General features: G+C 45.5%; 1 long non-coding RNA gene across 7 annotated transcripts in view, besides 1 other annotated feature; it reads left to right on the top strand.

Moving 5' to 3' along the window:
* The window catches only part of LOC105371742 (uncharacterized), a 163,994-nt gene that overhangs the window by 2,900 nt on the left and 138,260 nt on the right, over nt 1-22,834 (top strand). For 6 of the 7 annotated variants that reach the window (XR_934691.4, XR_001752844.3, XR_001752845.3 and 3 more), the window contains exon 2: nt 4,164-4,228. This is a non-coding gene — a long non-coding RNA (uncharacterized LOC105371742). The remainder of the gene's footprint in view (nt 1-4,163; nt 4,229-22,834) is intronic. The other variant, XR_001752848.3, reaches the window with a different exon arrangement.
* Nucleotides 6,849-6,908: an enhancer, noted in NCBI's record as "active region_12046". NCBI's record gives its function as "activates an Ori minimal core promoter by ATAC-STARR-seq in GM12878 lymphoblastoid cells {active_cell/tissue: GM12878}" and the evidence as "EXISTENCE:reporter gene assay evidence [ECO:0000049][PMID:35858748]".

The following is a 22,834-nucleotide window of genomic DNA, read 5'->3' as shown; positions in this document are numbered from 1 at the left end:
TGGGTAAATATAGCCATTCCAAATGGGAGAAATTTGCCAAAACAAAGGGGTTACAGGGCCCAAGCCAGTCCAAAATCCAGTGGGGCAGTCAAATTTTAAAGCTCCAAAATGATCTCCTTTGACTCCAGGTCTCACATCCAGGTTATGCTGATGCAAGAGGTGGGTTCCCATGGTCTTGGGCAGTTCCACCCCTGTGGCTTTGCAGGGTACAGCCTCCCTCCTGGCTGCTTTCTTGGGCTGGCATTGAGTGTCTGCGGCTCTTCCGGGTGCAGATGCAAGCTGTTGGTGGCTCTACCATTCTGGGGTCTAGAGGATGGTGGCCCTCTTCTCACAGCTCCACTAGGCAGTGCCCCAGTAGGGATTCTGTGTGGGGGCTCCAACCCCACATTTCCCTTCCACACCATCCTAGCAGAGGTTCTCCATGATGGCCCTGCCCCCTGCAGCAAACTTCTGCTTGGGCATCCAGGCGTTTCCATACATCTTCTGAAATCTAGGTGGAGGTTCCCAAACCTCAGTTCTTGACTTCTGTGTACCTGCAGGCTCATTACCACTTGGAAGCTCCCAAGGCTTGGGGCTTCCACCCTCTAAAGCCACAACCTGAGCTCTATGTTGGCCCCTTTCAGCCAAGTCTGGAGCAGCTGGGACACAAGGCACCAAGTCCCTAGACTGCACACAACATGGGGACCCTGGGCCTGGCCCATGAAACCACATTTTCCTCCTGGTCCTCTGGGCCTGTGATAGCAGGGGCTGCTGTGAAAGTCTCTGACATGGCCTGGGGACATTTTCCCCATGGTCTTGGGGATTAACATTAGACTCCTTGCTACTTAGGCAAATTTCTGCAGCCGGCTTGAATTTCTCCCCAGAAAATGGTTTTTTCTTTTCTATCACATAGCCAGGCTGCAAATTTTCTGAACTTTTATGCTCTGTTTCCTATTTAAAGCTGAATGCTGTTAACAGTACCCAGGTCACCTCTTGAATGCTTTGCTACTTAGAAATTTCTTCCACCAGATAGCCTAAATCATCTATCTCAAGTTCAAAGTTCCACAGATCTCTAGGGCAGGGACAAAATGCTGCCAGTCTCTTTGCTAAAACAGAAAAAGAGTCACCTTTGATCCAATTCCCAACAAGTTCCTCCTCTCCATCTGAGACCACCTGAGCCTGGACCTTATTGCTCATATTATTATCAGCATTTTGGTCAAAGCCATTCAACAAATCTCTAGGAAGTTCCAAACTTTCCCACATTTTCCTGTCTTCTTCTGAGCCCTCCAAACTGTTCCAACCTCTGCCTATTACACAGTTCCAAAGTTGCTTCCACATTTTTGGGTATCTTTTCAGCAATGCCCTACCCTACTGGTACCAATTTACTATATTAGTCCATTTTCACACTGCTAATAAAGACATACCCAAGACTGGGAATAAAAAGAGGCTTAATTGGACTTACAGTTCCACATAGTTGGAGAGGCCTCAGAATCATGGCGGGAGGTGAAAGGCACTTCTTACATGGCAATGGCAAGAGAAAAACGAGGAAGAAGGAGAGCAGAAACCTTGATAAACCCATCAGATCTTGTAGCCCATCAGATCAGTATTCTCACTATCATGAGAATAGTAGGGAAAAGACTGACCCCCATGATTCAGTTATCTCCCACTGGGTCCCTCCCACAAAACATGAGAATTCTGGGAAATACAATTCAAGTTGAGATTGGATGGGGGCACAGCCAAACCATATCAATGCAAATTACTTAACTAATTTTTCTGTCTGTTGGAGAATATCCAACTTTTAAGTACATAAAAAATTCATGACAGTTCCCTTAAAAATAAAAAATACTTTATCCTAAGATTGTTTCATAAATCTCCCAGCTACAGTTAAAATATCATGAGCCAAGAATCGATATCCCCCTGTCTGCCATTCTCCTGACTGCTTGTTTCTAACCTATCTTTTTTTACAGTCCTTTCTGTAACAATAACTATTTCTTTGCGATCACTTTATTGGTGCCATCACTATTGCTTTATGTTTTGATCCTGTCTCATAGTCATACATTACTACCCTCCCAGCCTCCCACAATACCACTGCCATCCCAGGGTTTTGGCTCTTGAACGTAATTCAGTTTAATATCTCTAGGTATTAAGGCCTTGTAACAATCCATTCACTCTTCCTTTACAGCTGCCTATATAATTGTCAAAGAGATCTAGGGGAACAAGGATATAATCATTAAGGACATCCCCAGTGACTCTGTAAATAGTCTTGCTTTCCTTATTCTATTCTAGATTGAAGTCTTTAATGAGGGAATCAAGTGCCCCAGAATTAGATTTAATCTTCAATCATACTTTTTCTGGCCTGATGTTTAGGCTAATAGGAAAGGGACAGAGATGGGAACCTGGAAGATCAGTGTTTTTGGTTGGCTTTTGTGAAAACAAAAACAAAAACATATGCTGCTAAACATTTTATAAAGATAGCCTTATAGTATTGAATTAATTGTGGATTCCTGACTACCCTGCTCTTTAGCTACTTCATAAATATTAGCCCTTCTTTAAAGAGAACACTTGGGGACCCGAGTTGGGCCTTTACTGAGGGATATTATGTTTGAGGACAGAGAGAGAAGGGAAGTGCCGGGGTGCAGGTATTTCCCTAGAGCCCACAGATGGTAAGAATGGTTTTCCCATGGGCCTGACTTGCCATCTTCTCCATGCTTGGCAGAGTTCTTGGCATTAAAGAACTGAGCTAATGATGGTCACAATGAACAATGACTACAGTCTCCTTCCTTCTGAGACTTTCTCAATATTTCTCAATTGCTTAGTCCAAGAATCACCGACATAGCCCTGTGTCTGTTTGCTGCCTGGGCCAGGATGAAGCCAAGTGCCTTGTTGGACAAATATCCTGTGGGCCTGTATCTGGCTTCTGCCCTTAACTTGGAGATAAATTTAGATGCAGAGGTTGAGAAACAGGTTTGGGCCATATGCTTGCCTGGCAGGAGCTTCACAAAAGCTCAAAATGCATAAGGAAAGGCTTTGAGAGCAGTGAGCTTAAAATGATTTTTCCTATTGCTTCTTTCTTCTGTAGTCCTAGAGCTGTATACAAGGGCCAGTTGGTCATGCAGTATTAGTGGGGGCACACCATTCATTGTGCTTGACTGTTCTATCAATTGTAGAACTTTCTAGAGATAGTTGGATGTTTCACACCCCTGGCATCCAGGCACTAAAGGCCAGTACCACCCTCCATTCTTTGTGACAGCCAGACGTACCTTGTGTTTCCAGATGTGCTCAGGAAGATGGTACCACTGAAGAAAACTTTAACTGTTCAGGAGTCTACCTACTAGTATATTGTTTGGGTTACTTGGTTCTTTGTCTTCACTAAACCTTAGTCTTAAAAGTACTCTTTTCTACCCTATGCCCCAATCTAGGTTGGAGAACGTGGTGGACTATCCTATGGGGAGGACAATGTTGGAAACCCCTCTGTCATGCAGTTGTCTTTGTGAAACAGGGTTGTGTTGGCAATTAAAAATGTTGAGGCTGGGCTTGGTGTCTCATGCCTGTAATCCCAGCACTTTGGGAAGCTGAGGCAGGAAGACTGCTTGAGCCCAGGAGTTCAAGACCAGCCTGGGCAACATGGCAAGACCTCATCTCTAGAAAAAATAAAAAATTAGCCAGGCATGGTAGCATGCACCTATAGTCCCAGCTACTCGGGAGGCTGAGGTGGGAGGAGCGCTTAAGCCCAGGAGTTCAAGGTCATAGTGAGCTTTGATTGTGCCACTGCACTCCAGCCTGGGTGACAGAGCAATACCCTGTCTCTAAAACAAAAACAAAAACAAAACAAAACAACTAAAAAGAAGAATGTTAGCTCTGGAACCATAGTGTGTGGAACCATATTCCACCTCTACCATCTATCAGCTGTTTGACATGGGGCTAGTCACCTAACCTCAGTTTTCTCATCTATAAATGGATTATAATATTTTACCTATCTTACAGGATTGTTGTGAGGATAAGTCAGTATGTGTTGATTGCTATACATAGTGCTTGAGCCATACTTTGTACTTAACGACTGCTTAGCTACCATTATTTTTATTATGATCAATAGTTATGCATCAGTATGCATTGGGCATGCAGTTTGTTACATAAATAGAGCAAAATCAACTAATGACAATAACTCTGCAAACTTTTGCCTCTAGCAGTGGAGAAGTGTCAACACTACTTTGGCTGTGGGACCAGGATCCTGCTGCCTGGAGGCAGATTGGTGAGTGTGCCACAGGGGTTTGCCAAATACGTGTGTGCTTTCCTGTTTCCCCCTTTGGCATTCTTTCAATCTCTGCCCCAGAACTGTGACTGATGAGATGTGCAGTTTGGGGGGCCTAATGTTGCCAAAAGGCCACAAGGCCTATAAAGCCATTTTTCCTACAGTTCAGGAAAAATATTTCTGCCTAAGCACTGCGTGACATGAAGTGAGATCCCTTTTCTGTTGCTTTATTATTATCACATTAAACTTTCTAGAGATGCAGGCTTAACCTTACACCCATATGGGGGTAAGCTAAGGGACTATAGTTTGAAGGTACCAAGAATGTCCCGACATTCAAACTTCCTACCTCCTGTGGCTAAAATTCCAACATTAGTATTTCTTTTGGTCTGGGTTTTTGTTTTAAAAGCAAGTATGTAGAAAAGAGTTATAGCAGGCCCAGGTTTTATCCTTTGAAAGGCCTGCTTTCAAGGTTGGTCCTTGGTTGATATCTGGGAATTTGGATTTGGGAGTGTTCTCACTACCCTATGTTCAGACTGTCAGTATTATTTATACTGAATACCTGCTTTCCTTTTGGAAGTCTGGAATTTTGGGTACATTTGGGTATGTAGGCATGTAGTTCCTATATAATCAGCTTCTAAAAAAGATCCTGGACTCTGGGTTTCTAATGTGCTTTCCTGGTTGGCAACATTTTACACATTGTCAATTTGTTGCTGGAAAAATTAAGAACATCTTGCCTGACTCCACGAGAGAGGACCTTGGAAATTTGCACTTAACTTTCCTCTGGACTCATCCCATGTGCCAGATGGGATAATTTGCTGATTTTGCTTTGTATCATTTCTCTGTAATAAACTATGGCCATAAGTATAACTACATGCTGAGTTCTGATCCACTGAACCCAGAAGTGGTCTTGTGGGCTTCTGACACAGCAAGTATTCCTGATATCAAAGAAAAGAACACTACAGAACAATATGTGAACAAAATTCTTTAATGAAATATGAGCAAACTAAATCCAGCATCATATAAAAAAGATTATATAATATGACCAAGTGGGATTTATCCCAGGGATGCAAGGTTGGTTTAATATCCAAAAATCAATTAATATAATATACCAAATTAGTAGAATAAAGGATAAAACTACACAATTATCTCAATATACACACAAAAATTCTTTACAAAATCTATGATAAAAACTCAAACTTAGAATAAAGGAAACTTCCTTAACCTGATAAAAGGCATCTACAAAAAACCTACAGAAAACATCATAGTTCAGGGTGAAAGCCTGAATGCATTCTACCTAAGATCAGGAACAAAGGAAGGCTGCCCACTCTTACTTCTTCAACATAGTACTAGAGGTTTTAGCTAGTGCCATTAGGCAAGAATGGGAAATTATTTTCAGACAACATGATCCAGTGTCTAGAAAATTCTAAGGAATTCATAAATATAAGTATTCCTGAGAAAAGAGCATGTTGTCAAGTTTGCATGAGAGTGAGTTTATAGCATTTTCTATGGGATCCCTGAAAGAGTCTGGCAACTTGGAATTTGGAGGCAGAGGAGATGTTAACTGGGAAATTAAAAATCTCCCTTCTGTCTGGTATATGGTTAACTTACCTACTAGAGTGCATAGGTAAGGTGTAAGACAGTCTGCTCTGATGTGCATCTCTGAGACAAGAGCAGGGGATGTAAAGGTTTTCAGCTGTTCTAAACTCTACTGTAGTGTTTGTGCCTTCTCATGAGTTAAAGAGAGTGAATTTTCCCAAGGGCTGTTACCAGAAGGATTGGAGGAGTATAGCTTTTGGAACCAGAAAGATTCAAGTTTGAATCACACTTCTTAACTGTTGGATTTTGGGCAACCTGTCAGCCTGTTTCCAAATGGGAATGATGGTAAAGCTACTGTATAAGTCAAGACATGCATTGGGCTGCCTGAAGTTGAGATCAGGAATGATATTAACTTAAGCAACACAGAAGTTCATTTTTCTCGGGGCCGGCATGGTGACTCATGCGTGTAATCCCAGCACTTTGGGAGGCCAAGGTGGGCAGATCCCTTGAGGTCAGGAGTTCGAGACCAGCCTGGCCAACTTGGTGAAACCCTGTCTCTGGGTAATAAAAAATTACCCAGGCATGGTGATGTGTGCCTGTAATCCCTGCTCCTCAGGAGGCTGAGGCACAAGAATTGCTTGAACCTGGGAGGCAGAGGTTGCAGTGAGCTGAGATCATGCCACTGCACTCCAGCCTGGGGTGACCAGAACAAGACTCTTCTCGAAAAAAAAAAAAGGTTATTTTTCTCTCATGTTCAGAGACAGGGAAATCAGGATTTATGTATAGTGGTTTCTCACTATTATTTGAGGCCCAGGCTTCTAATTGTTTTGTTCCACTCTTCCGGGCACATAATTTTCATCCTCAGAGTTGCCTTAATGATCTGCAATGTCTGTTGGACCTTCAGCCATTATAACAGAATAGAAAGGGCCCACCTCAGCAGTCTCACTTCCTTTTTTTTTTTTTTTTTTTGCAGGGGGACAGAATCTTGCTCTGTCACCCAGGCTGGAGTGCAGTGGCGTGATCTTGGCTCACTGAAACCTCCACCTCCTGGGTTCAAAGCAATTCGCCTCAGCCTCCTGAGTACCTGAGATTACAAGTGCACTCCACCACGCCCGGGTAATTTTTGTATTTTTAGAAGAGACAGGGTTTCACCTTGTTGGTCAGGCTGGTCTGGAACTCCTGACCTCAGGTGATCCTGCCCACCTAGGCCTCCCAAAGTGCTGGGATTACAGGCGTAAGCCACCACACCCGGCCTTCACTTCCTTTTAAGAAGCTTTTCTAGAAGTCTCACACAATGACTTCCTCTGACATTTCATTATCCAGAACTTAGCCCTATGGCTACACCTAATTGCAACAGAGGCTTTAAAATGTAGTCTTTAGTTAGGCTCATTGGCAAAAAAACCAGGGTTCTCATGCTGAGAAGGTAGGAAGAAGGACGCCAGACAGGTAAAGCAGCCTCAGCCTCATCTACCCTGCTGAGCTAATGGAAGGGGTCAGTGATGGAATGCAAGAAAAATGCCAAGCACACAGTAGGATCTCATGAATGCTCCCTTGCCCCTACCCACCTCACCCCTGCTCATGTGCTTCAGCCAAGAGTAAGATGACTGTTCCTTATGGGTCTGTGTGTAGGGTGCAAGTGAGAGGGGCACCACCAAGGGATCCTTCCAAGGGCAGTGTCTTTCCCATGTTCAAATACTTTTAGCTCACTGCCTGCCACTAAACAGGTACCTATAAGTGCCTTTTGAATGAATAAAAGAGCATGGGAAGGAGAGACAGACAAACCTTGTATTTGAATCTTGTCTTTGCCATCCCTAGTAAGGTTACTTAACTTCTTGAATCTCAATGTCCTCATCTATAAATTGATGATGATAATACCTACTCTACAGAGTCGTTGAAAGGATCAGATAGAAAGGCACTGTGTCAACTTCCCAAGCACCAAATGGATAGCATCACCATTGAATTTTATGGGGAGAAAATAGGCTGGGCGCAGTGGCTCACCCCTGTATCCCAGCACTTTGGGAGGCTGAGGCAGGTGGATCACCTGAGGTCAGGAGTTTGAGACCAACCTGGCCAACATGGTGAAACCCATCTCTACTAAAAATATAAAAATGAGCCAGATGAGGTGGCGTGCCCCTGTAATCCCAGCTACTTGAGAGGCTTAGGCAGGAGAATCGCTTGAACCTGGGAGGCAGAAGTTGCGGTGAGCTGAGGTGGCACCATTGGCACTCCATCCAGCATAGGCAACACAGTGAGATTCTGTCTCAAAAAAAAAAAAAAAAAAAAAAAAGAAAGAAAGAAAAAGAAAAAAAGGAAAGAAAATAGTATGAAAGGCAACATTTGTCCCCTGAGCCTTCTCACCTACCCCTTGCTCTATCTGCTTCTCTTCAAGCCATCTTTGTCCAGGCTCCTGTCCTGTGCATCCTAATAATTAGGAACACAGACTCTGAAGCCAGCCTACCTGGTTCAAATCCCAGCTCTGCCACTTAACTGGTTGACTCTTTGGGTAAGTCACTTAACTTCTCTGTACCTCAGCTTCCTCATCTATAAAATGGAGATTATAACAGTATCCACCACACAGGGTTGGGAAGATGAAGGGACTTCAAATAAAGTTTTAAGAGCAGTGCCTGGTGCATAGTGTTAGCTGCTATTATTATTGTTACTTGGCATCTTCCCTTCTCTCTGTCTGCTTTGTCTAAATTTTACAATCTTTTCCCTTCTCCACAGAAATCCATATTCTCTTGTCTCCCATGAGTAATGAACCACTTCTTTCTCCCTCGCCACAGCCATCTAGTGAGCCCTTCCTCACCATCCCATTTCTGGGATGCCTCAGTGGATGACAAATATTTGTCACCTCCATGTCCTCACCAAACCTTAAGCAGCAGCAGAGCATGGGCCTGGGAGGCGGGTGTTTCTGTGGCAGGAATGGGAGGAAGGCTTCTGCCAGGAAGGCTCTCCCGTATCCCCATTCCCACCCATCACAATGGCCTAAGAGGCCCCACACCTGCCTCTCCAGCCTCATCATCTCTTACCCTCCCAACTCTCTCCAGCCACACTGGCCCTCCTGCTGTTCCTCCTGTCAAGCTTGTTTCTGTCTTGGGAACTTTCCCTGACTTTTTTTTTTTTCTTTCAGAGACGGAGTTTTGCTCTTGTCGCCCAGGCTGGAGCTTAGTGGTATGATCTCAGCACACTGCAACCTCTGCCTCTGGGATTCAAGCAATTCTCCTACCTCAGCCTCCTGAGTAGCTGGGATTACAGGTGCGTGCCACCATGCCCAGCTAATTTTTGTATTTGTAGTAGAGAGGGGGGGTTTCACCATGTTGGCCAGGCTGGTCTTGAACTCCTGACCTCAGGTGATCCTCCTACCTCGGCCTCCCAAAATGCTGGGATTACAGGCATGAGCCACCGTGCCCAGCCAACTTTTCTCTTAGCCAAGAACACTCTTTCCCCAGACTCTCACAGGGCTTACTCCCCCAACTCAACTTAGTTACCCTTTCTTTTTTAAAAAAACAGCTCCATCTCCTGCCATGTTCTGTATCTTCTGCTTTATTTTATTTGGAACAGTCATCACTATTAAATAAAATCCTGGATTTGTTCATTGTTCATCTCCCCCCAAATCAGATTGGAATATGCTCTCTGTTCCCAGTGGATTTCTCCCTGGCACGTCTGGGGAATTTTACTGATTGAGTAAATGGTTAAGGCTGACCTACGTACTCCATCTCTGGCCATGCTTTCTTTTTGAGGGATGAGCAAATACTCCAGGAGGTGTGGACAGACTCTAGGGTGGGATAGGGTCGGGGAGGCTGGTTGCAGTGGGCTTCCACAGCCAAGGTTGGGATGCTGTGTGGAGCCCCTGTCTTAGCGGACTCCTACATTCTCCTCTCTTGGCTCCAGATCCTCTGCTTCAATAATTAAAAATAGCTTCAGTCAGTGTTCAAAGCAACTCCATATACATTGTCTTCTCTTAATCTTCACAAATATAATAATTAACTCAGGGAGGCAGAGTTCCCCTTGTTTTCTAACAAGAGTTGACCGCAGGTAACACTGGCTTTGGAATGACTCTGGGAAGTAATGAGGACCCTGGCCTCGGAGACCAGGCCACCTCTTGGCAGGAGAGTTTTGGTAGCTATGCAAGTGCCTGGGTTGAATTACATGGACTTTGTAATCCTTTCAAGCCTGGAGGTTTAGGATTCCCCAATCCTGTCTTGCCCACGAGGATACTAAGGCTTGCTCAAGGTAGAGATCTGGGGATAGAGGGGTGTGAGATTCTTAAAGCAAGGTCTGCAAACACCCTTCAGGACCGTTTGATTTGTGCACAGCAGCATGTTTCCACCTCCCTCGTTTCTCGCATGCGGGTGCAGGGGAGAGAGAATCCAGGGTGCGCGGTCTTCTTCTCAAGGCCGCCAGGGAGGCCAGTGTGGAGGAGACAGGGCTGAAGGGCTGGGCTCCCTCCCTGGCCCAGAGCCTGCTTAGTGTCACCTCCCTCCCCTCCCCAGCCTCCACATTTTGCTGCAGGCTATTAAGGGCCCCCATCTGTACCACCTCTCATTAATTAAAAATGCTACAAACCGTCTGTTTAAGGAAGCCTCAGAGAGGGGCTGCCTGCCTAAGGCAGCATTCTCTCATACTTCTCAACTTTAATTGAAAACATATTTTTCGAATAAAACCCAGCCCCATAAACCCTTCTTGCTGCTGTTGGCAGTGATGGTGGAGAGGTGAGTATGATGAGCCCAGAGCCAGCAGAAGCTCTGGAGTTGGGGACCGTGGTGTTGGCAGAATTTAGGAGGAGGCATGTGGTTTTGCCAGCTTGCTGGAGTGAAGGCACTCCAGCCTCTGGCGGATAGCGGGAGGGAGGAGCTGAGACGTAGATGCTGGCTGCTAGAAAGATAAGGACAGAAACATAGAAGGGCCCAGCTTAGAGGAGCACACCTTGTGCATGGGGGGAGCCAGAGGGCCCCTAACTCTGAGAATCCTAACTCTGCCCCCACTGGGTGTGGGACCAGGGGCACTTCCCCAAGTGAGCTACTTCACCTCCCTGGGTTACTAGAGTCCAGATGGGCCCCTGGCTCTCAGCAATGGGATGGTTTAGTGTTGGGGATGTGCTCGAGGGTCCGGGCCCCCCACCAAGGGCCCTCTGTGGGGAGCAGGACAGACCCCGGGCCTTTCTCCTGGCTGTCACTCTGCTTTCCTCGGCTCTAGGACCATTCCCCATTGTTCTTGTCCTGCCTGTCTCCCTGGGAATATTTTAAAAGTTTGAGGTCACTGTCACTTATGAGATGGGGGCTGGGTGTGGTGGAAATTTCAGCCCAGGGCCTGGCCTGTGGGTACTCTGTCTCGTGGCTGGATTCCTTGGAGACAGACAGGGCAGCTCCCTGGCAATGGAAAAGATGGTAGCCCTTCTCCCCCAATCCATATACAAAAGGCCCTGGGGCTCACTAATTACGCTCTTTTTGACTACCCTGCAGTGAGGCAGAATAAGAATTATCATCCCCACTTCCCCATTTTCAGGGAAGGAAACTGATGGTTAGAAACAGAAGGTGGCTCCAGATCACACAGCGATTCAAGCCAGAGCTGGTTCCAGCATCCAGGCCTCTGGCACCAAGGCCAATTCTCCCATCACACTTCTCTTCCGGTTCTCCCCTCCTCTGGGTCTTTTTGGAGCAGAGGCGATGGTGGAGGCAGGGACAGTATACCCTGAACCCAGAATGCCAACCTAGCCCAGTCCATGGTGGGCACTGCTTGCCTTTGATTTTCCTGAGCATGTCTTTATTGCCAGCCAGAAGCAGCTAATTCATCTCTGTTCCTGGTGCCTCCTGCAGAGCCTCATATAGATCCTCAATCATATGTATGGAGTGAAGAGGTGAGTGAATAAATGGATGAAGGAAAGAAGGAAGGAAGGAAGCTTGTTCCTCTAAGGTGAGCCATTCTGCCAGCCTCTAATTCATAGAAATCAGAGAAATCATGAAAGGAGAGACCACTTAATGAGTCTACATTAGTCCAACCCAGTCATTTTAAGGAAGAGGCACGGTGAGAAGTGGCAGGCCCAAGGTCACAAGTTTCCTTCAGGAGAGCCAGGCCTGGAACCTGGGTCCCCTGACTCCTGTTCTTTCCTTTTGCCCTGGCCAGGGATCAAAGACAGGAGGATCTGAGCCAATTAGAATGGGCTTCATGTTAAGTCATGGCAGCCTCCCTCCATCTAATCTCCCCAAATCAATTTGCAAAACTTCCATTAATACTGTCAGGAAATCTGCAAGCTGTTTAAAGCCAGGGCATCGTGGTAACTGCCTGTGTAATGGCTACCTGGGGGGAGACAGACATTAACAGGATAATTAAAGATTAGTGTGTCCTTGGGCAGTTCAACAAAATTTACCTTTCCCAGTAGCTGATTTTGGAAAAACTTCATTGTAGAGGAGCCTCATACTAAGGGCTGGGCCAGGTGGTTCTCTGCCACCCCTCTTTTTTTTTTTTCTTGATCATTCTTGGGTGTTTCTCGCAGAGGGGGATTTGGCAGGGTCATAGGACAATAGTGGAGGGAAGGTCAGCAGATAAACAAGTGAACAAAGGTCTCTGGTTTTCCTAGGCAGAGGACTCTGCGGCCTTCCGCAGTGTTTGTGTCCCTGGGTACTTGAGATTAGGGAGTGGTGATGACTCTTAACTAGCATGCTGCCTTCAAGCATCTGTTTAACAAAGCACATCTTGCACCACCCTTAATCCATTTAACCCTGAGTGGACACAGCACATGTTTCAGAGAGCACAGGGTTGGGGGTAAGGTCATAGATCAACAGGATCCCAAGGCAGAAGAATTTTTCTTAGTACAGAACAAAATGAAAAGTCTCCCATGTCTACTTCTTTCTACACAGACACAGCAACCATCCGATTTCTCAATCTTTTCCCCACCTTTCCCCCTTTTCTATTCCACAAAACCGCCATTGTCATCATGGCCCGTTCTCAATGAGCTGTTGGGTACACCTCCCAGACGGGGTGGTGGCCGGGCAGAGGGGCTCCTCACTTCCCAGAAGGGGCGGCCGGGCAGCGGTGCCCCCCACCTCCCGGATGGGGCAGCGGCTGGGCGGGGGCTGACCCCCCACCTCCCTCCCGGACGGGGCGTCTGCCACCCCTCTTATTGACACTGTATTTGCTCCCAGGAGGCCAGGGGTCTTCTGGGAGGAGGGACATTGGAGCAGCAGTTCAGCAACTTGTTTTGCCTGGTCAGGTGAGATTGATCCAAAGTAGCACTGCAGAGCAGGGCTTCTCACACTCTGGTGGCAGCCACATCACCTGGGCCTCCTGTGAATGCAGATTCTCATTCAGAAAGGCTGGGGTAGGGCCAAGACTCTGCATCTCTGCATTTCTTTTTTTTTTTTTTTTTTTTTTGAGATGAAGTCTCGCTCTATCGCCCAGGCTGGAGTGCAGTAGTGCGATCTTGGCTCACTGCAACCTCTGCCTGCCAGGTTCAAGCAATTCTCCTGAGTAGCTGAGACTACAGGCGTGAGCCACCAGACCTGGCTAATTTTTGTATTTTTAGTAGAAACGGGGTTTCACCTTGTTGACCAAGCTAGTCTCGAACTCCTGACCTTGGGTGATCCACCCACCTTGGCCTCCCAAAGCACTGGGATTACAGGCATGAGCCACTGCGCCTGGCCTCTGCATTTCTTTTTTTGTTTGTTTTTTGTTTTGAGAAGGAGTCTTGCTCTGTCACTCATGCTGGAGTGCAATGGTGTGATCTCAGCAACCTCTGCCTCCCAGGTTCAATTGATTCTCTTGCCTCAGCCTCCTGACTAGCTGGGATTACAGGCATGCACTACCACACCCGGATAATGTTTGTGTTTTTAATAGAGATGGGGTTTCACCATGTTGGCCAAGCTGGTCTTGGACTCCTGACCTCAAGTGATCTGCCCATCTTGGCCTCCCAAAGTGCTGGCATTACAGATGTGAGCCATTGTGCCTGGCAGACCCTGCATTTCTAATAAACTCCCAGGTGACACCCATGTTTTGAGTTCTTGGACCACACAGTGAGTAGCAAAGCTGTGGAGATAAGTCCAGAGATGAGGACAGGAGCTGTGGCCCAAACACTAATGAACACAGGAAGAAGAGGCCAGCCACCAGGCTGTTTCAATAATGTTCTAAGCCAGCCCCATCGAGGGGTACTTATATGGTGTACCAGGGATTAAGACAGATAACTCTAAAATTCCTACTGTCTCAGTTCAGAACGTTGGCTCCAGTGTTCAGCCCCAGAAGATGGAGATAATAGCAGTACCGACTTTATAGCATTGATGTAAGGATTAAATGAGATCATTCATTTAAAGCATTGGCTCTGAGCATGTAGGAAGTGCTCTGTGTCGGGGTGAGGTATTTTCAGTCCTCAAAGACAGTTTTTAAGCACAGAAAAAAATTTTAGAAGTTGCTTTGGCTTTTGGAAGGAATGTCTAATTTATTAAAGTTATACATTGTATAAAAATCTAGTTTTTCCTTACCCAGTTCGATTTACCAAATTTGGGCTGGGTGCAATGGCTCATGGTTGTACTCCCAGCACTTTGGGAGGCTGAGGCAGGTGGATTGCTTGAGCCCAGGAGTTTGAGATCGGCCTTGGCAACATAGCGAAACCTCATCTGTACAAAAAATGCAAAAATTAGCCAGACATGGTAGTGTGCACGTGTGGTCCCAGCTACTTGGAAGGCTGATGTGGGAGGATCGCTTGAGCCCTGGAGGGCGAGGCTGCAGTGAGCCATGATCGTACTACTGTGCTCCAGCCTGGGTGACAAAGTGAGACCCTGTTGAAAAAAAAAAAAAAAAGATTAACTAAATTTTAGCAGTAATTTTAAAGGGGCGTTTGGATGGCGTCTGTTCCATTTACAAACTTAATAAAATACCTTCACATATTTAAAATATCATTTTATAAATTTAATATATTTCATTTTTAAACACTATACTAACCCAACTGACTACTTTTTTTCCAAGTAATTCTTACAAATCTAAGAGAAACTTAAGCATGTATAAAGTTAATATGATTTTTTAACTAAAAATCACAAATCTAACTCAATTGTAAAATTATATTTTAGATTGGAATTAAAGGCTGACCAATATTCAAGTAGGCCAAATTCTCAAACATTATACACACTTAAGGTACCAAATACTCTCAGACTCTTTCACATCTAAAAATATTCATCCTGTGGGTTTGAGAATCTAAAATATTTCTATATTTAAGGATGAAAGAGCCTTACCACTAAGGAGATAATTATACCTTCCCAAGTAGTTTTGGGGGTCACCTTCTCAGACAATTGAAGTTGCATAGTAATCAGAATTATTGACCACAATGTCGGCTGGATTCTTATCAGTGGCATTTATGGAAGCCACTAAGCTCCTTTTTTAGATGCTCTTTGTCAGGGACTCCATAAAAAAAAAAAGGTGGTGTTCATGCACAATCCACGCCCCAATATTCTCAGTTCTTTAGTCAACTCACAGAGATTGGCAGCCCCCTCCTAGACCACCACAGCACACGAATGGATTTTGCATTTGTTGGCTTCTTGGGATATTTGAATATCCTTCTGTTTCCAGGCTCCAAAAAACTTCAGCTCTCAGGGCATACTACAATTCTGTTTATATTCTTTCTCTTTCTTAGAGTCACACTTCCCTAGATGTAGAGATGGCATCCTTTGGAAATCTGGTTCTCTCTTGGGGTTTGGTTTAACTTTGTGGTCAGCATTCCTAGGGACATGCTCTGATAAATAAATGTTAGCACTAATAATTACCATTGTTGACACTGATCGTCTTAAAATGAAGGGGAGGGGACTCTCTGGAGGCCCCTGGGGACAAAGGAGGATGCTACACAGTGGCCCTCAGACTCCTGGGGTCCTGAGGATCTTTGGTTGCTTTTTTTCTGACATTTATGGTGCAGAGGAAAGAGCATTGGCTCAGGGGCAGGTCAGAGACTTGGGGCAAGTAGCTTTTCCTTTCTGACACTCAGTTTCCTTGTCTGTATGGTGGAGATTGTAGTATGTTAGTATATCCCTGGACAGGGTTGTCAAGAGCAACTGATGAGATGGATAACATAGCATGGCCTGTGACACTTTGTAAGTGCTGCAAAAAGTCATATTCTTGTTCCTTCAATCCATTTTCAACATAGCAGTGGATTACACACACACACATGCACATGCGCGTGCACACACACGCACACACACGCAGACAGATGGCTCCTCAACTTTGATGGGGCTGTGCTTTGATAAACCCATCATAAATGGAAGGTGTCCTAAGTGGAAAATGCATTTAATACACCTAACCTACCTAACATCATAGCTAAGCCTAGCCTGCCTTAAACATGTTCAGAGCACTTACTGTAGCCTATAGTTAAGCAAAATCATCTAACACAAAGCTTATTTTATAATAAAGTGTCAAATATGTCATGTAATTTATTGAATACTATACTGAAAGTGAAAAACAGAATGGTTCCCAGCAGTGCTGGAGAACATTGTACGGCATATCGCTAGCCTGGGAAAAGATCAAAATTCAAAATTCCAAGTGTGGTTTCTACTGAATGGGTATTGCTTTCACATGATCGTAAAGTAGAAAAATTGTAAATGAAGGACTGTCTGTATACGTATCTGTAATTCCATAATTATAGAACCAATCCAAGCCAACAGACCAGACATCCTTTTTTTCAGAAAACTACCCACATGCACTACCCACCATGGCTGCTGGCTAGGTGAGAACATCACGCTGGCAATGTGTGTATGTTGGATGGGGTCTCCGGGGGTGGCGGCTGGCTGGCTTCAGGGAGCCAGCACCATCTGTCCATCTTCTCTCCTTCACCCCACCTTGCGCCCACTCTACCCTCGCTGCCTCTCCTGCAGCACCCTTCTCCTGGGAAACAAACTGGCATCTCTAGAGGCATAGAAGGAACACAGATGTTAGAGCCAGACAAACCTGTGTTTGAATTCCAGCTCTGCCATTGCCTGGCTGGGGAGACCTAGGCAAGCCATTTTCACCTCCTGGGCTTCTGTTTCCTCATCTGCAGAATGGGTATGACAGAACAACCCCCGCTTTATGAGGGTGATGTGAGTGTAAATAAGATGAAGTGTGCAACAGCACTTAGCAAATGGTAAAGCTCTGTATACATGTTCACCATAAGGACCATTGCAGTGTTAGAATGACATTATTAAAATGAACCATTGCAGTGTTAGAATGCCATTATTAAAATGACATTTTTCCTCCCCAGGTTATCTGCCTGACAAATTTCTGAGGGTTAGCACAAATGCCTAATCTACTGCAAAACCTTTCATAGCCAGAGTGAAGCCTTCCCACATCCTTCTTCCCTTGGAACCCAGAACACTCCCTTGAGAGTTTGTGTGATGCTGTAATCCAGCTAGTGGTTCGTAGGTATGGCTCCCCTACTGCATGGGGAACCTTGGACTGTATCTTTCTCATTTCTGTCTCCCTGATGTAGAGCAGGCCTGCCTCAATGGATACTAGTTGAATGAACAAATAATTAACTCACTAAGGACATAGTAAAGAGAGCTGCGACCTATTCTTCCAAGAATTTTTTCTCAAGCTGCCTTCCCTTCCGAGTTCCTCCCTGGAGTCCACTGGCCCACCCACTGCCCCTGGCTGGCTGGCTCCCTCCCTCCTCATTTTATGCTGGGAACCAGATGTGTAGCTCCTGTTCCCTGTCTGAAGGATTAAATGCAGGGATGAGAAATGTGTTTTCTTATTGTTTTAGGAAACTGAGCAGGGTGGGGGAGAGGGAGGAAGAAATTGAATCAGAGGCAACAATTTATCTTGTGTTAAAGGGACTACAAGGATTCCAGGAAGCCAGGCACTGACTACCCACCCACCCACCCGTGCAGACCTCTCCTTTGTTTGGGAGATAATTAGTCAGGACAGCTGGCAGTCCACATGTGTCTGCCCTTGTGTGGGAGGAGATGGGGCTCAATGGCTTGAAGGGAATTCTGATTCTGCTTGGGAACCGCTTGTCATTGTAGGAGCATGCAGGAAGACCTACTTCACCTGGGGTCCAGCTTTGCCTAAATCCCTCCCTGCCATCACAGCCTTGGCTGAGGTTTCCTAGACATTGAGGTGCCTGGGGAGATGCAGTAGGAAGGACACAGGCAACTTTGGTTCTGCTGTTGCTGGGTGGGCCACATACAGCCTCTGTTTCTCTCTCTCAAAATATGGTAAGGACAGAAATGCATGCCTCACATGGGCTGGCTGGGTCCCATGACCTGGCCCATGACTTGCTAGGCTCAGAAACCAAATTTTGTCCTTACACTCAAGAGGTCGTGCCTTTGAGGCCAATTCACATTGACAGAGACCTACAAGAAGCAGATGCACACAAGCCAGAAGGCTACTCTGTGGTTTACACAGAGAAATGCCAGGTGGATGGAATGCCCACCTTGCCAGGTGGCACAACAAAGGTACGGGTCTAAATATGGGCTTTGACTCTTAACTGTTGTGCAAATTTCTGTAAGTTGGAGCCTCGATTTTCTCTTCTGTGAAATGGGAAGAAAAATGATACCTGCCTGATAGGGCTGTTGTTGGGTAAAATGCACTGTGGTATATCAAGTGCTTAATGCTGGATGGCAGTTAGAAAACACATGATAAAAGATTAGCTGTTACTGTGATTATTAGTAGCAATTAAGCAAGATCTTAATTAAGCAGGGCTTTCACTCATCACTTGAGGAGATTTGAAAGGAGGAATGGTCCAATCTCCTTAGCCAAAATGCTCTCTTCCAGGGTAAGAGAGCTAGGATAGGCGCCGTCAAGATTTGCTTCTGGGAAAGCCATTCTTTCTGTTTCCATTGCTGACCAAATATCTGTAGACATCAGGCACAATGCAATGACAAGTTTCTACTTACTCAGTTACAGTTGCAATCTCGTCTTGCTGCGGGAGGTTTCCTCCTTAAAGGAGGATGATGAGTGATTTGGCTGTTCCCAAACTCCTTGCTCACATGGTCAGGGTCAGTCTCTGGCTGGGTCCCAGAAAGTAAGATTAATCATAGTAATGATATGAACAGTAACACTTTTCAAACATTTACTACACACCAGGCCACTATTCTAAGAGTTTACATACATATGTGACAAAACAACCTCTGAAGTAGGTTCTGTTGTTATTTCCATTTTGTAGATGAGGAAACTGAGCTCCAGAGAAGGTAAGTAACTTGGCCCAGTGTCCCACATTTGGTTAATTATGCCCACTGGTGTGGGATTTGTTGTACGGCAATGATAGCCTGGTACATATTGCATGGGTGGAAAGATACCTGTTGGGTAATTTCCTAGAAGTGGAAGGGCTGAGGTCAAATTTTGCTAAATTGCCTTCCATATACATTTTATCAATTTTCATCCCTACCAACAAAACATGAGACTTCCTGTTTCTGTTATCAGAAAGGGGTCCCGATCCAGACCCCAAGAGAGGGTTCTTGGATCTCTCACAAGAAAGAATTCAGGGCAAGTCCACAGAGTAAAGTGAAAGCAAATTTATTAGGAAAGTAAAGGATTAGAAGAATGGCTACTCCATAAGAATAAAAGAATGCCCATTCTAAAGGAATAAAAGAATGGCTACTCCAAAATGGACTAATTGCCCATTTTTATGGTTATTTCTTGATGATATGCCAAACAAGGGGTGATTATTCATGCCTCCCCTTTTTAGACCATGTAGGCTGACTTCCTGACATGGCCATGACATTTGTAAGCTGTCATGGTACTAGTAGGAGTGTTGCAGAGGTCTACTAGAGGTCACTCTTGATGCCATCTTGGTTTTGGTGGGTTTTAGTGGGTTTCTTTCCTGCAGCCTGTTTTATCAGCAAGGTCTTTATGACCTGTATCTTGTACCAACCTCCTATCTCATCCTGTGTTTAGAATGCCTTAACCATCTGGGAATGCAGCCCAGTAGGTCTCAGGTCTCAGCCTCATTTTACCCATCTCCTATTCATGATGGAGTTGCTCTGGTTCACACGCCTCTAACATTTCCACAATGGAATATTACCAAACAGAATTATTCTAAGTGATGAAAAGCCACAGGTATCCTGCTGTAGCTTTTGCATGTGTGTTTTCCTTCTTAATGAGATTGAAGATCTTATATGTCCAAGAGCCATTTTCATTTCCCTTTCTGTGAATTGTCTGATTGTGTTCTTTATCCCTTTTTAAAACTGGGTCTTTGATGTTTTCTCATTAACTTTCCATTCACCTTAAAGAAATTAGCCCTTTTTCTGAAATACAAATTAAATGTATTTTCCTTGAACTCATCATTTGTCTTTTCACTTTATGTCTACTGTTTTTCAGGTAAGTTAAAACATTTTTATGTGGCTAAATTTACCCATCTTTTCTCTTATGGTTTCTGGGTTTTGTAGTTTGTGTCCTACTTAAAAAGGTGTTTTGTTCACTTTAAGATTTATCTCTCTTTTCTAGTACATTTATGGTTTCATTGTTTATGTTTAAATTTGAGATCCATCTGGAATTTATTTTGGTGTATGGAGTGAGGTAAAGATCTAACTTAACATTTTCCCCAGATGGCTACTTCCTCAAATACAAAGAAATGGAAGTCTGCAGAGGCTGTGACTTATTTGGGTTTACACAAATCATAGGATTTGCAATAATCCTGGATGATCCCTATCATTCAGAGGCTGCAGTAATCAGACATGTCCACAAAGTGATTTCCCAGGACCCAGCGAAGGGGACGGCAGTAGCTCCAGGAGTTTCCTGGGATGAGTGGGGGTGGGGGGTGTGGTTGGGAGGGGGCAGGCAAATGATGACTCCTCAAGGGATTAAAACTCCATAGAATATAATGACAACGAACATTTCTTGAGCACTTCCTGCAGCATCCTCAGTGTGTTACAGGTATTTGCACATTGAATCCTCACAACACCACCAGGAACTATTATTATTCCCATGGTTGAGATTGAGGTTTGGAGAGAAGTGCCTTGCCCAGGCTCTTGCTGTGGAGGGAGTGCTCCTAGGCTCTGCTGCCTTTCACAGAATGTGAGCAACAACAGCCCCCAGGAGACTGAGCCCAGAGCTTCTCAACAGGTGTGGTGGGGTGGGCTGAGCGCTGGAGACCCTGCCCCGACACTGGGGCACATCTGACTCTCCTGCGGCAAGGAGGATTCAGCACATGGCGAAGCACATTCAATGTTAACAATGATTGGAAAGGAATCTTCCCTTTGGAAGACAAATAAACAAAAACCCTGTATGTTTTTCATAATACAGATCATAGAAGGGGTATGAGATTTGGATGTTGTCCCTGTGTATTGGTCAGGGTTCTCCAGAGGAGTACAGCCAATCAGATGTGCGTGTGTGTGTGTGTTTGTATACATTTATTATAAGGAATTGGCCTACACAATTATGGAGGCAAGTCCCATGATCTTCAGAGTGAATTTGAAAACTGAGGATCTGGGAGAGCCAAAAGGTGGAATTCTAGTACAAGTCTGAAGGTCTGAGAACCAGGAGAGCCAATGGTGTAGTTCCTGTCTAAAGACCTGCAGGCTTGAGACCCAGGAAGAGCCAATATTTCCCTGAATTCCGAAGGCAGAAAATAGCCCATGTCCCGATTCAAAGGCAGTCAGACAGGAGGGATTCTCTCTCCTTACTTCAGTGAGGGTCAGCCTTTCTGTTCAATTCAGGCCTTCAACAGATTGCATGAGGCCCACTCACACAGGGGAGGGCAGTCGCTTTACCCATTCCACTGGTTTAAATGTTAATCTCATCCAAAAATGCCCTCACAAAAGCACCCAGAATAACATTTGATCAAGTATATGGGGACCCTGTGGCTCAGTCAAGTTGACAGATAAAATTAACATCATACCCTGTTTAAGGGGCATAGATTAAAAAAAAATTAGTGAACACTGGTCCAATCTCTTCAATTTGCACATGCACATGAGAAAACTGAGATCTGAAGAGGTGCCCAAGGTCATGGGGTGGGATTGGGGAGAATCTGAGCTTGGGGGTCAGGGAGGCTAGAGGTCAACCTCATATCCTAGTAACTGCATGACTTTGATCCAGTCCCACATCCCCCCTCAGGTAAAATGGGGGGAAGACCACCTAAATCTTAGGGTGGTGCAAGGAGTGAGGTGTTCTAAATGATGAGATGGGCATAGCTTGCAAAGTGAGGCGGGCTCTGTTCTTTTTATTGTTAATTACAGGCAGAGCTAGGCTTGGAAGCTGGTTCAAGGACTCCTTATGGGTGCTCTGCCTGATGTTGGCAGACAGATGTGGCTGTTTCTGTTTTCTCTCTCCCACCCTTGCTTTAATTCCTCCCCACTGTAGCACCCCAGACCCTAGGCGAAGATGGGGTGAGTGCCCCCTCTTCTGCAGCGGTAGAGGGAAGAGGAGGGGAGGAGGAGTGCCATGCTCAGGAGGAGATGGTCGGTGAGGGGTGGGGAGCCTGCCTGGGAGCAGCTCAGGAGCTGCAGCTCCTGTTTGGAAATACAAATTGCAGCAAATTTGTCGTCTCTGGAGAGAAACTGCATTTGGCAATTTCAGTGTTTTTTGTGCTTTGATGCTCCTGTCTGTTTAAGGGGAGGGGGGAGAGAGTGGAGGGAATCAAACTGGGCTTCATTGAGTGGAAAGAGGGGCTGAAAGTGAGCGGGAAAAACAACTGAGGGGCTGAAAAAGGCTCCTCTCCCAGTCCTGGTGGGGAGGGTCTGACTTCTGAGATCTGTCCTTTGGGACTATCCTTCAGCCCTGGTCATGGCTGGGTGGTGGCCTGGGCATACGGCCGTGTTCACAGAAACATCACCAGACTCAGACCCAGAGCCTGTCACTGTCCCTTTCTGGGGGCCTTGCCCATGGGTGGGGACTTGGGCCAGAGGATGGAGTAAAATAATGTGTCAGGCTGGAAAGGCTCAAGCCCAGTGGTTGACCTTCTCCCAGTTGGTAGATAAGAGCAGGGAGTAGACACTTCGGTAATAGCTCTTACTCTGTACCCGGCACTACTTTAGGGCTTTAGATCTATCAACTCATTTGACCCTTACAACAACTCTGTGAGGAGGGTACTATTATTTCCCCTGTTTTGTGCATGGAAACTCTGAGGCACAGAGAGGTTAAGTGACTGGCCTGTGATCACACAGGAAATTGGTGCAGGAACTC

Source organism: Homo sapiens, chromosome 17 (genome assembly GCF_000001405.40).
Source record: "Homo sapiens chromosome 17, GRCh38.p14 Primary Assembly".
Taxonomy (NCBI): Eukaryota; Metazoa; Chordata; class Mammalia; order Primates; family Hominidae; genus Homo; species Homo sapiens.
This window is presented reverse-complemented; position numbering and strand designations above follow the sequence as displayed.